Source organism: Homo sapiens, chromosome 7 (assembly GCF_000001405.40).
Source record: "Homo sapiens chromosome 7, GRCh38.p14 Primary Assembly".
NCBI classification, from domain to species: domain Eukaryota; kingdom Metazoa; phylum Chordata; class Mammalia; order Primates; family Hominidae; genus Homo; species Homo sapiens.
In genome coordinates this window covers 143,553,725-143,569,204 of record NC_000007.14, presented here as the reverse complement: position 1 = coordinate 143,569,204, position 15,480 = coordinate 143,553,725, and positions in this window count along the sequence as shown.

Here is a 15,480-nt window from a genome sequence, read left to right as displayed (position 1 = left end):
CAGAACCTTGAGGTTAAAAGACATAAACAGTTTGAAGTTCACCTTATAATTGATTAGAAAGGGCAGACCTGAAACTCAGGTTCAGCATTAGACCTCCATGTCTTTGGCACAAAAACATACCATCTCTTGACTTTTGCCCTGTCTTCATAATTCCAAAGAGCCTGAGATTACTTTCAGACTATACCATTTTCCTTATTAGTAAGTAATCTGTCTGAAGGTCTGCATGAGACAGTCATAGTGTCAGCCAGAAGTCTGACATTCAAGCTCATTTCAAAGCCCCTGGAAATAGACTCTCTTCACTGCCTTCTGTGTGGACGTCCATTGCTCTGCAGTCTGAGACTTGAGTCCACACCAGGCAAACACCTCCCTAACTCCTCAGCCTCCATTCTTATCCCCACGGTCAAAGTTCAAGTCCTCAGCACCTCTCACCTGGACTGTTCCAGAAGCCTCCTCACTAGTTTCCCTACCTCTAGCCACAATCCCAACTGAGCTGTCTCCCAGAATACTGCCAAATTAACCATAAATTTCAGCTTAAAACCTTTCAGTAAATTCCTGTTGCCTTCAGGTAGAATCCTTCAGTAAATTCCTGTTGCCAACCTTCTCATCATCTGGGTCTGCCTTCACCTCCTGCCTCAAGTTCCAGGTTCCCATCTTTGCACCCCTTCTCCCGCAATTCCAAACTGATGATCGTTTTCAGAACATTTCACCACAGTTCATATTTCTGTGCATTTACAAATACTACTCTTTCTTCCTGAAATGGTTTTGCCCTCTTTCTATAACAGGGTTTCCTGAAATGGTTTTGCCTTCTTTCTATAACAGGGTTTCCTGAAATGGTTTTGCCTTCTTTCTATAACAGGAAAACTCCTGTTTATCTTTTAAAATCAGCACCTTGTCCCACCTCCCCACTCCGCCCACAAAAACAAAGAAAAGAAAGGAAGAAGGAAATACCTGATACTGGTAATTTACAATGAAAAGAAGTTGAATTGGCTTATGGTTCTGCAAACTGTACAGGGAGCATCTCCTCAGCCTCTGATGAGGCCTCAGGAAGGTTTTACTCATGGCAGAAGTCAAAGTGGGAGCAGACAGACATCTCACAAGGCAGAGCAAAAGCAAGAAAGAGAGAGTCAGGGGGAAGTGCTACACACATTTATAAATGACCAGATCTCTGAGAACTCACTTACTATGGTGAGGATAGCACCAAGCCATGAGCAATCCACCTCCATGACCCAAACACCTACCATTAGGCCCTACTTCCAACATTGGGGATTATAATTTAACATTAGATTTGGTGGGGACGTATCCAAACTATATCACTCTGCTTCAAGTCGGAGTGTCTTCCTGGAAATTAAAACTTTAATGTAGGCCGGGCATGGTGACTCACACCTGTAATCCCAGCACTTTGGGAGGGCAAGGCAGACAGATTACCTGAGGTCTGGAGTTCGAGATCAGCCTTACCAAATTGGAGAAACCCCGTCTCTACTAAAAATTCAAAATTAGCCAGATGTGGTGGCAGGTACCTGTAATCCCAGCTACTCAGGAGGCTGAGACAGGAGAATCGCTTCAACCCAGGAGGCAGAGGCTGCAGTGAGCCAGGATCGCACCATTGCACTCCAGCCTGGGCAACAAGAGTGAAACTCTGTCAAAGAAAAAAAAAGCTTTAATGTAATAGGCAGACTTCATGAAGATACATTTCATGAAGGTATTGAGTTGGGGGAGTGTACTGATTTATATATTTACCTTCAAAGCATTCTTTTGAATTATTCTGTCAGCATAGAAGACTACGTACATCCACCTCACCTCTACAGATGGGAGCAGCCACACAGCCAACTGAACACCCCATGTTTTCTCTTTGAGAAACAAACTACTTCCTGAGAGTAAGAAGTCTTCTATCCTAGAAAATTTGGTGTTAGTATCAGAAAGATAGACCAAGGCAAGAATATGCAATAAATATTGGCTTGTGCCCCACAAATGGCTGCTTTTTGGTCAGGAACGTGTGCCAGGATATTCTGTGCTGAAGGATCAGTGTCACTGCAAGTCCATGATGAATGCGCATTACTAAGCCACATACTCATAATTAATCTTCAGCGACACGTGAAGAAAACTAAATTTCAAAATGAAAAACGAATAAGTGGTAGAGCAAGAATGTGAAACAGATCATTGAATTCCAGAACCAGTGTCCTTAACTGAGAGAACACAGCATCATAGCTATTCTTTTCCTAATTGCAAGAGCCCAAGATATGCTTAAAGTGAAAAAATATATATATAAATTCACTTTCCTTTAGTGGCCTTTTTTGCTTTTTCATCTGTTCTATGAATCTTTATTCTGAGAGCTGCCTTTACTTTCTCTCTGATTGAAATGGGGCTGACAACCAAGGGACCCCACCATTCTCATCATCAGAGTAGGTGTGACTACAGATGGCCAGTCTTAGCATTCCATGCCCTGGACCTCAAGACTTGACTATGAATGTTCAAACGACCTAAGTATAGCCAGTCAGTGTCCAGATGAGTGATAAAGGCATTAATGGAGAAATAATTTCTTTCTTTCTGAGATAATGATTTCTACAAACCATTTAAGCCTGGAATTGCCTTGTAATATTATCTTCACACAAAGAGAGCTTGATGGACAATAAGCACCATCACCACCCACCCCCACCCCTACCATACACACACACATAAATGACAAATCAAAGGCAAAGAGCGATACCCCTAGGGATATTGTTAAAGAATCTAGATATAGTACTGATTAAAGCTCCAGGTCAACATCTAGACATTTTTGTTTCCTTAATCAATAAACTGCTTTTTTTTTTTTTTTTTTTTTTTTTGCTTCTACTTGTTTCAGTTTAGTTTCTATTACCTGCTCACAAAAAATGTATCTAAAAGCATATGTACAATTTAAATAATAATTATAAAGGGAACAATCAGATCAGCAACAGATTAAGAAATAGAATGTTGCCAATAATTGAAGTCCTCCATATGTTCCTCCAAGTTCATTGTCCCTCTCCTACCACCAGATGGAACACTAATCTGACTTCTGTGATCATTCCTTTTGCTCCTTTAGTTTTACTACCTATGTGCACAAACTTAAACTACATAGTTTAGTTTTAACTTGTTTTAAACTGTATAAGAATACAAGAAAGTTATATTTTATGTAATCTTTTATGGCTTGCTTCTTTAGTGCAATACTGTGACATCGTCTGTGTTGATTTGTGTAGCTCTACTTCATTTTTCTTTCTGCCTAATACTCAATTATATAACTATAATACAATCAGTTAATCTATTTTGCTGCTGATTGGTTTTTGATTGTTTTTATTTGGGGCCTATCTGATACTACAAACATCCTTTACATGTATATCTGGGCGAGAGTTTCTCTGGCATACCCTAGGAAAGGAATTGCTGTATCGTAGAATATGCATAGCTTCAACCTTCTTAGATAAAACCAAGCTGTAGATAAAGACAAGTCAAAATCATATCACTTAGAGTATATGAGTTTCCATTGCTCTAGATCCTTAGGAACACTTGATATTATGAGATACATTTTTTTCCAAAGTGATGAGTGCATAGTAATATATTATTGTGGTTTTCATTTGCATTTTCCTCATTACTAATGATGTTAAGCAGCTTTGCATATATTAACTAAACATTTGATTTTTGCTTTTATTTTGAAGTGCTCATTCCATTTTCTTGTGTATTTTTCTATCGGATTTTCTGTATGTCACAATGTTTTAGATATATGAACTTGGTCAGTTACATGTGTGGCCAACAGCTTTTCCCACTCTGGGCCAATTTTCACTCTTCTTGTGGTGTATTTTAATAAACACAACTTCTTAATTTTAAAGTAGTCAAAGTTATTAATCTTTTTTATGATTAATACTATTTGTACCATGAGTAAAAAAAATTGTTTACCCAAATTCCACAAAGAGATTTTTCTATATTATCTTCAAAGAGTTGTATAAATTTTTAAGTTTAAATGAGTTTTGGGCATAGTGAACTAGGAATACAACTGTAGTTTTTTTAAAATATGGATTCCTAATTATAGCACTGTTCATTGAAAGGTTCACTCTTTCTGCCTCATCTACGGGGCCAAAAGTCTGGATCTGTGTGGATCTCTTTGCAGGCTCTCTATTCTTTTCTATTTTTTTTCTTCATCTCTATGCCAATGCTATACTATTGTAATATCTTCATAATAAATCTTGCTAATTATTCTACCTTAGTTTTTGTCAAGAACACACAATTATTCTTGGTTGTTTGTGCTTCCATTTAAATTTTTAAACCAGCTTGTTGCATTCCACTAAAACAAGTGAGTAAACAACTACAATAATGAAAAACCCTGTTGAGATTTTGATTCTAAGTAATTTTTTAAGAATATACATCAATTAGTGGAGACTTGAATTTTTTTTTTTTTTTTTTTGAGGTGGAGTCTCGCTCTGTCGCCCAGGCTGGAGTGCAGTGGCACGATCTTGGCTCACTGCAACCTCCACCTCCTGGGTTCAAGTGATTCTCCTGCCTCAGCCTCCCGAGTAGCTGGGACTACAGGTACCCACCACCATGCCCAGCTAATTTTTGTATTTTTAGTATAGACAAGGTTTCACCATATTGGCCAGGCTGGTCTTCAACTCCTGACCTTGTGATCCACCCACCTCGGCCTCCCAAAGTGTTGGGATTACAGGCATGAGCCACTGTGCACGGCCGAGAATTGATTTTTTAAAAATTAGTTTTCCAGAGGGGAGGAGGCAAAGCAAGATAGCGGAATAGAAGGCTCCACTGATAGTCTGCCCTGCCACCACAAGGACACCAGGTTAACAACTATCTACACAGAAAAAATACCTTCATACGAACCAAAAATCCGGTGAGCCCTCATAGTACCTGGTTTTAACTTCATATGGCTGAAACAAGCACTGAAGAGATAGAAAAAAAACAGTCCTAAATCAAGTATGCCACCCCTCCTGCACCCTTCAGCAATCATGGCGTGGTGCAGAGAGCGTCTCTAGGTGCTGGGGAAGGAAGAATACAGCAATTGTGAGGCATTGAACTCAGTGCTGTCTTGTTAGAGCAGAAAGGAAAACCAGACCAAACTCCTACAGAGGCCTATGATATTTACTGAAATCAAAGAAATCCTTTTATTATTCTAGAAAGAAGTTGCAATATGACTTTAATATCTCCCCAATTTTTTTCTGTCTTGTAACCAGCTATAAAACTTTGGGTGATATTGGTCATCAGATTGAATAAGAGGAAACTTTGCAATGGTCCCCTTTTCCCCATTTATACATGCAAGAATCAGAACTTATGGGAATATTTTTAGCAATATTTTTGTGGGGGACGATGATGAAAACTTTCAGAGGAAATAATTAGCTTTTAATTAAATTTCTTGGCCCTTGACATTGTACGGTCCTTGTCTTCATCTCTTACCATGCCTGTTTCTTCTCTCTCCTCACTTGAACTCAGCCAACATTAATTTTGGAGACACTTTTCTCTGAATTATCACCTCACCTTGTCCTGCTTTGTCACTACACTCTGGATCAAGGGCATTCCTCTAAATTGGAAGATCCCCAAGTGTCTTTATATAACTCGAGTCTTTTCCTGACTCTCCTCAAGATGGCACCCAAAGCACAGGCTCCAGCCTCTTCAACTTCGCCGTCCATTACTAGAAAGACAGATCTTTTCTAAAACTCTAACACAGCTTTAAAAAAACAGAAGGCAGGCTCCCCGTAAAAGATCTAGAGAGATGGTATCACATGGTAAAAGAAAACCAAGAACTCGCCCAGAACAAAGTGCTGCAAAGAACAAGAATGACCACAAGAGGTCTTGCAAGTCCAGAGGGAGCAGATGGGGGAAACAGATAAGTCTCAGGAATGCAAGGATAATGTATTCCTAATACATCTATTCGTTCTCTGAATTCACAGATTACAAGAAAAAAAAATTTATGCTCATGCCAAAAAATAAATTGAAAAAATCCAAGTCCCGATGATGGTTAAACATTAGCAGCATAGTAAAATAGAAATAAACTTCCTATAAGAAGTAGTATATCTACCAGAAACCTTCGGCAAGCATTATACTCAGCTGTAAAAAGTCAGATGCATTCACATTAAATTCACAAACAAAAGAATGTTCACTCTCAGTGTTACCTTCAACATACTCATAGAGGTCCTTATCAGTGCATTAAGACAAGAAAAATAAACTGGACAGAAATAAATAAAAGTCATAATATTTGGAAAATATGATCCTTTATAATTTGAGGGTGGATCTAATAGACTTAGTTGATGAATTGGATGTGATAGGGACAGGTAAACAAAGATCAAGGATGATACCTAGGCTTTTGGCTTGAGCCATCAGTGTTTTTCAGAACTTTAACTGAGATAATGGAAAATGAGGGTACGGGATGAAGAGAAAATAGCTAGACAGTTTGAGATATGAGTCTAGACTTTAGAGGTTTGGGGTACAGAATGAAGAGAAGATATTAGATAGGCAGTTTAATAGATGAATCTAGACTTCAGAGCAGAGGTCAGGTCTGCAAATATAAATTTAGAAGTCATCAGAAAATAGATGGTATTCAAAGCTTTAGGCCAAATTGAAATCTCAGAAAAAGAACATTGAGAATGCTGCAAACCAACAGTTTGAGGCAAAAAAAAAAAAAAAAAAAAAAAAAAGAGAGAGAGAGAGATTTGGAAGACTAGCTCCATGAGATAAGAGGAAAGCTCAAGCTTATTATAGCATCACATAGCTGTGGGAGAGAAGTTTTTTTGGGGGGAGGGAGTGGGAAGGAGTGAGATCGAGATGTCAACATTCATATGTTATTGAATGCTGATAGAAAAATCATATAAATAAAGATGAAAAAGTAACCTTGAAATCTATCCACATGGGACTACTGGTAACCTTGACAAGGTAACGTGGCAGATGAGTTGGAAAGCGACTTAGGGTGGGTTGAGGAGATCAGGGAAGTGAGGAACTTGAGAAATCTCATGTTCAAAATGCTTTTGATCATTGTTCTTGATAAGGAAGCAGAGAAATCAAGGGATAACTAGAGGGATAAAGGACCCAGAGAAGAGCTTATTTTTTAAGGTGATGAGATACTAGAGAGTATTTTTACATTGATGTAAATAATGCAGTATGGGGAGAGAGATTATGACTTATGTGTTGGAAAGGGGGGGAAGTAAACTAAATTTAATATTACATAAAATTATAAAGTAGTTTACAAGAGAAACCATTTGGATAGAATGTGATCCATAAGTCAGCCTGACAAACTAATTTTCTATCAACTCATTTGGATTTGAAGTTTGTTCTATGCTTGACTTTTAAGAAACTTATGTGTAAAAAAATGCATATTTTTCTTTTAAAGAAATTTGGTTAGCTCAGAGTATTTTGGTGTTTTTGTTTTGTTTTGAGACAGGGTCTTACTCTGTCACCAAGGCTGGAGTGCAGTGATGTGACCACAGATCACTGCAGTCTTGACTTCCCAGGCTTCAGTGACCCTCCTACCTCAGCCTCCTGAGTAGCTGGGATCACAGGCATGTGCCACCACGCCTGGCTAATTTTCCTGTTTTGGGTAGAGACAGGGTTTCACATGTTGCCCAGGCTGGTCTCAAACTCCTGAACTCAAGCAATGAACCTGCCTTGGCCTCCCAAAGTGCTGGGATTACAGGCATGAATCACCACACCCAGCCCGAGATTGTTTTTAAATGGCAAAATATCTGGGATTTTCCCCCAGTAATGGCACCTTACTTCCGAATATATCTTTGGTATCTGGGATGTACCTATATTAACAAAAGGCTTATTATTAATAATTCATAGTTCAAAACTTTCTATGGATGAAAAAGTGCAGATTTGACTAGAATAATACAGACTGCCTATCTGCTCTCAACTCACTTGATTTAGTTTAATTTTAACCAGAAAAGGGGGCATTTTTAGTTTTCTTTTTCTTTTTTGGCTGCTCAAGCATTTGGATCCTAATTCTGTCTGGGGGCCTCCTAAAACAGTCAGATTCTTAATGGAAGATAGGCCCTTCCTATTTTTAGCCAGTGCACTAGCTAAAAATGCCAAATACATATATTCCTTCCCCTCAACCCGTGTAGCTAGACTGTAGTCAGTTCAAGTCCACGAGGCCATTGAATCTTCTGCAGATGACACTAGGAAGGTGTGAGTGTATGGAATTAACTCTGTTAGTGGCATTCAGTGGCCAGTGGCCATAGCAATAGCATTATAACCAATTCTGGTGGCGTAATTTTGACTGTATTTCTGAACATCCAGATCCTAGTTCCTGGTGGTCAGGTTTGTTTCTCCACATACTCTACCAATTATGAGAGCAATCCAAATCACATCTAATAAATTCCTACCTTGCAGAGTTAACCGAGGCTTTCCTTTTGGTTGATTGCTAACAAGATCCCTGAGTGATACACCAGATAAAACACACCTGCGGTATCCTCAGGATAACCTGAGAGCCTTTTTCTCCAAGAATGCCACCCAATTCTTGAAATTTCTGGAAGCCCAAATAGTACCTACATTTTCCCGTTTGTATTGGGTCCTACTTGGCTCACAACGGTCTAAATTATTTTTCAAAGTTCAGTATCCATTTATTGTGAAGATAAAGGTGCCTGTGTTGTGATCCCTGCATGCGATGAAAAAGTGCCATGTGGAACTGTTAGTTTGAAAAAATTCACCAAGAGGAGGCAGAAACTCATGAAATATTAGTTGTTGAAATCAAGAGTGAGAATCAGTTTTAGATTCTCATGTTTTTGGAACATTTCAAAAGACTTAATCTGGTAAAAAAAGAAATTTATATATTCTGGGATAATGATAAATATATCACTTTGCTACAATTCATCTCGGATTTTTGTCTCCTTTCTTACTGTTTTAGCTTTCCGATTTTGCTTTTGTCTTCATGCTGCACCTCATCTTCCTTCTAAGCTTTCAGACTAAACATTCCATTCCTTTACCTGTAGAAAAAAAAATGTGGTTGTGGATGTGTTCCTTTTATAGTAAGTGCTGAAAAACTATAAACTTTAAGCCAAAAGGACAATACTTCTTTCAAAACCCTTCCTTTAACAAATCACTTTGCAGAGCATTAAAAAGACCATAAAGAGACAGTACGTTTTCCCCAGCCATTGAAGGTATGATGAATGGTACAACCTGAGAGTGAATGGAAGAGCCACTTTATAAAGTTTAAAGAACCAATACTTGGGCTTAGTTATGGGCTTCACACTAACCAGAGATACAAGGCATTTTAGCCGAATGACAGTGGACCGAACTAATCCTATAAAGTGACAAGGGGAAACACTGGGACCCTCCACTGTGACATATCTTGGAGTGAAGGCTTGGCAGGAAGTCAGTCTTGCATAAACATAAAAGCCAAACTCTTTTAGAAAACATATTATCAGAGATGATTTATTTTTATATGAGAATAGTTCTTTTAAAAAATATTTTAGATCTTTTTCTTGAATATAAATATTGATTTACTAATATGACCTGTCTTTTTTCATTCTCTAGACAACAATGATTTCTTAAGAAGAGGCAAATGGAACTCAGAATAAGCAATCATAGAATACAAGCATAGAATAATTTCAATAATTTTTGCATTTGAACACAAAAAATGAGCTACTAAAAGCATAGCCCCCTTCAAGTTGTAATTCAAACACATAACATAATTTGACTTCAATAGGCAAAGCAAATGACACTTACTTGGAAATTTCTAAGGTACTTACAGAAAGTCAAGGAGAGGACTTAAAGTGAAGAAAAAATATGTCTGACTAATAGTGAATAAAATTATTATTGATGCAAAAAGCATTGTTGAATGAAATCTTTTCAGCATCTTAAATATATAATGGTCTAAAGCTTGATCACCTCAAGTTCTTTTTAGAAGCAGGCAGAGGAAAAGAGAGAAAGAATGAATATAAGAACATTTACATCCAGAGTATACAACTCCAGAAGATAGAATTTATTCCTGTTTCATCTTTGTGTGCACTTTTCCCCATGGTTAACCAGTGCATTGCACTAGAAGGCTCAGTGTTTGTTGAATAAATAATCCCAGAAATAACTAGAAAATAGTGCAGAACAGTGAAGAGAGAGCTTAAGTAGAGATCAGGAAAGATACAGCATCTTCTTCCTTTCTTTACTATGTTGAGATACTCTCTGAGCATTGTTTTCCTTATTTGAAAAATGAAGAGTCAAAATGCCTTAAGTACCTTTCAGTTCAGAAATTCTTTGCTTTGAGAGTAAATATACTTAAGATTGAGTGCTAGAATTCAGAATTTTGCAGTGCAAGTTAAAAAATAATTCTATCTTTGGGGAGAAAAAAAATGGGGTTATATTTTATTTATTTTTTATACTCTGTCAGTAGACTAAAGGGGGTCTTTAATTAGTAAAATTGTACATTTCAATATGTTCATGCTTGCACACAGAAAGGTGCTGAGTACCTGCCATGGCTGTACTGCAATGTCTATTGTAAATGTTAGCTCTTTGGGGGGCAAGCATACCCACATTCATATGGCATTTCCTAAGCCTGTTTTCCTTCTCAGGGTTAAACTCACTGATGCAAACTGCCCAGCTGTGTTTTAATTAAACTTCTACTCCCACTTTCCTTTGGGCTTTTCAATCATATACGCTTCTCTTTCCCCTCTTTTCCCCATAGTCTTCTCTCTCTTTTCCCTAAACTCCCGCCACATAGGCCTGTGGTGAGGAGAGCTGACAATAATGAGGCCCCAGGAACTGGTACAAAGCCTGCTGTAAAACTTTTTAAATTAAACCCTTGAGATTTTAAGAGTTTGTAATTAGAATGCATGGTTTGAAATGAATTAACATAACCCTGCCATCTAGCTGGCATAACCCAGTGCCCATGAGTCTACTGATCTCTGGGTGCTTAAGCCCTGGCAGAGCAGACTGTTTCTAACCATTGACCATCCTGTCCCAAAAGTGGGCAATGTCTTCTTTGAACCTTTTGGGAAGTGTCCCAAATTCTCCTCCTATTGAACTGTTAGAATGTGCTTAATTTTCCACTGTAAGAATAGGTTGCTTTGATGAGTATCTATTGGGATAAGTTTTTGCCTTTGTGAAATTTCTTCAAAATAGATTCCCAGAAGTAGGATTAGAGTGGGAAGGGTAGAAATATATTAAGGGCTCATCATAGATGCCAAATCCCTTTCTTTTCACTCATCCATACAAACAAATACTTATTGAGCACCTGCTGTGTACCAGGTACTCTTCTAGGTGCTGAAATTTGGTTGTGAACGAGATAGGTGAAGTTTCTGATATCGTGGAATACTACTTTACTGGTTAAGGAAGACAATCAATAAGTGGGCAAAAAATACATAATATAATTATAAATGGTAACAAAAGCTATAAAAACATATAAAATGGAACGATAGAGAATAGGGGTTGGCTTCTGTCCTTTTGCAGTCCATACAATTTATCAGGAAAATTGGTCAGCTTTTCCTTCTAAGTACGTAGAGAACTTAATATCTTCTCTACCTCTGTATTGTTATCTCCCTAATCCAGGTCACCATCATCCTTTGCTTGGACTTTTGCAAGAGTTTCTTAATTGATCTTCCTGCTACCATATTACCCCCCATAGTCTGTTCTCCCCACAGCAGTCAGAATGATTCTTTTAAAGTGTAAGTCAAGTCATATAACTCAGCTGCAGAACACTTCCAATAGCTCCCTTCTCTCTCAGTGTAAAATCTGTCATTTCCATGGCTTGTAGAAGAATCTGCGGCCTGGACACTGCTGCTTCTCTAAACTCATCTCTACCATTCCCCTCCCCAGCTGCAATCCTTTCAAATTTCAAGCATGACACTTCCTCAGTGACTTTGCACTTGCTGTACCCTCTGTTTGGAATATGGTTTCCCCATATATATCTCACTCCTTCAGTTCTTTGCTCAAATATTACCTTTTCATAGAAATAGTCATTAACCATCCCAAATAAAATAGTGTGGCATTCCCATGTCTCTCTTTATCCTACTTTCTTTCTCTTCATGGCACTTATCGTCACTTGACATATTTATTTGTATATTTTGTTTATTGACTGTTTTTACCCACTAAAATAGAAACTTCATAGATCAAATACTTTATCTGTGCTGTTCACTGCTATATCCCCAGTATCTAAATTGATACCTGGCACATAGGTAATGGCTCAATATTTGTTAAATTAATGAAGAAATTAATGACTTTGTTTGAACCTGGTGAGAGATTTCTTGGAATATGCTGTGAGTCTAGACCATGTGTCCTATCCAAGTTGTTTTTAATTTTTATCAATGTCATGGATCAAGAAATAGTAGAGGCCCAACAAACTATATGCTGTCTTGGAGTCCAGCAGTGCTGGAGCTGGGGCTCAAGAGAAGTGCAGGCTGTGTCCCCAAGATCTAGGCGTGAGTGACCCTGGGCTATCACACCTGGGGCTAAGGTGCAGTGCTGCTGGGACTGAGGTGCAAGTGGTGCACACATTCCCCATCCATTGGCCTATGCTGTTGCCAATGAAGGCAGAACTACCCTCCCCAGTGGCAGGATAACAGCACAGTTGTTTCTTCCCCCAATGCAAGCATTCCACCAGTGGCCTGCGGATCACCCAACCCCTTTGTACCTTGGGTGGCTCCTCCACACGCCACTGGAGGCCTGAGGACAAGCTCATCTGACCCAGATTTACCCCCTCTCCATAAAAGAGCACATAGTCTAGGGGCCAGGGGATTTCCCAACTTGGTTCACCACCATCGGAACCTAAACACTCCTCCCAGGGGCCTACTCACCAAAATGAGAATACCACAACTGGCACTTATCTGCATGTGCCACCTGCAAGCCTAAAGACTGGCCCATGCAGCCCATTGCAGCCACCACCAACACCAGCACATACTTCTCAAGACCCAGAGGATTGTTCTGCCACTGACTCTACCTTTGCCCATGCCATACTGGTTGCCTAGAGGTCCAAGAACCTGCCACCCACCTTGCCCAAAGTTGCCACTACCAGCATATGAGTAAGCTTCCAGAAGGCCCAAGGGTTAGCCTGACTGTACCCACTAATACTAGTGCCAGTTTACACTGCCCCCCGGTGCCCAAGAACAGGCATGCTCAGCCCAACACTGGTACCAATGGTGCTGGAAAACTGGCCTACTTGGCTTCCCAGTCCCCAGCAGAACTTCACCACAGTTTCCAGCTGTACCCTAAGCCACCAAGGAGATCACAGATACCACTGATGCTGTTGAAAGCTACACTACTGCATGCACCCAGAATCAAACCCAAAACATTCTACCCAACAAACACCATAGATACATCTTCAAGAAAGTTTTCCTTTATAAAAGCAAATTCAACAAGTTGGAAGAAACTAATATTATTTCAGATATGTCAATATCAATGTAAGAACACAAGAAACATGAAAAATCAAGGAAATATACACCTCCAAAGGAACAGAATAACTCTCCAGCGATAGATTACAATAAAAAACAAATGAATGAAATCATGGGAAAAGAATTCAAAATTTGAATATTAAAGAAGCTCAGTGGAATACAAGAAATTTCTGAAAAATTACAAAGAAATCAGAAAAACAATTCAGGATATGAATGAGTAATTTGCCAAAGATAGAGATAATAAAAAAATAGCCAACCAGAAATTCATAAACTGAAGAATTCATTTAATGAAATACAAAATATATTCAAAAGCTTCAACAAAAATAGACTAGATCAAGCAGAAGAAAGAATCTCAGAACTTGAAAGCAAGTCTATTGAAATAACACAGCCCAACAAAAATACAGAAAAAAGAATAGGCAAATTCTTCATAGTATATGAAACACCATAAAGTGGCCAAATTTTGAATTACTGGGGTCTCAGAAGGCAGAGAGAGAACAAAAGGATTAGAAAACTTATTCAACATAACAATACATAACAACTTCCCAAATCTAGCAAGAGATTAAGGCATCTAGATACAACAGGCTCTGAGATCCCCAAACAGATACAATGCAAAAAAGTTTTCATGAAACATTACAGTCAAAATGTCTACAGTAAAATACACAGAAAGAATTCTAAAAACAGCAAGAAAAAACATATAGTCACCTTTAAAGGAACCCCCATCAGACTAACAGTGAATTTCTCAGTAGAAGCCTTTCTGCCAGGAAAGAATGAGATGATATATTCAAAGGGCTAAGAAAAAAATATATATATTGCCAACAAAGGATCTATTTCCAGCAAATTATCCTTCATAAATGAAGGAGAAATAAAAAAGTCTTTCCCAAAGAAGCAAAAGCTGAGAAAATTCATCACCACTTAACTGGTCCTCCAAGAAATGCTCAAGGCAGTCCTAAACCTGGAAGAAAAAGACAGCATTTACCATCACAACAACACAACGAAGTATAAAACTCACTGGTAAAACAAACACACAAATGAGGAAGAGAAAGAACTCACACAGTACCACCATACAAAACTACCAAACCACAATGACAAACAATAAAAGAAAAAGAAAGGAATGAAGAATATACAAAACAACCAGAAAACAATGAACAATATGACAGAAACAAAACTTCACATCTGGCCAGGTGTGGTGGCTCATGCCTGTAATCCCAGCACTTTGGGAGGCTGAGGCGGGCAGATCACCTGAAGTCAGGAGTTTGAGACCAGTCTGGCCAACATGGTGAAACCCTATCTCTACTAAAAAAAAATACAAAAATTAGCCAGGCGTGGTGGCACGTGCCTGTAATCCCAGCTACTTGGGTGGCTGAGGCAGGAGAATCACTTGAACCTGGGAGGCGAAGGTTGCAGTGAGCCGATATCATGCTACTTCACTCCAGCCTGGGCAACAGAGTGAGACTCTTGTCAAAAAAAAAAAAAAAAAAAAAAAAAAACAACTTCGCATATCAATAATAACCTTAAATGTAAATTGATTAAATTCTCCACTTAAAAGATACAGACTGGCTTAATTGATTAAAAGAAGTATATATGATCCAACTATGTGCTGCCTACAAGAAACACATTTTACTTGTAAAGACACACACAGACTGAAAGAAAAAGGATTGAAAAAGATATACCATGCAAACCTAAACCAAATGTGAGCAGAAGTTGATTTACTTATATCAGATAAAAGAGACTTTAAGTCAAAAATAGTAAGAAAAGGCAAAGAAGGTCATTATATAATGATAAACAGATCGATTCGGCAAGAAGATATAATAATTTTAAATATACATGCACCTAGCATTGCAGTACCCAGATTCATAAAGCAAATATTACTAGATCTAAAGTGTTGTGGGAAGTCAGGGACCCCGACTGGAGGGACTGGCTGAAGCCATGGCAGAAGAACATAAATTGTGAAGACTTCATGGACATTTATTAGTTCCCCAAGTTAATACTTTTATAATTTCTTAAGCCTGTCTTTACTACAATCTCTGAACATAAATTGTGAAGATTTCATGGACATTTATCACTTCCCCAATCAAAACTCTTGTGATTTCCTATGCCTGTCTTGTCTTTAATCTCTTAATCCCATCATCTTTGTAAGCTGGGGATGTATGTCGCCTCAGGA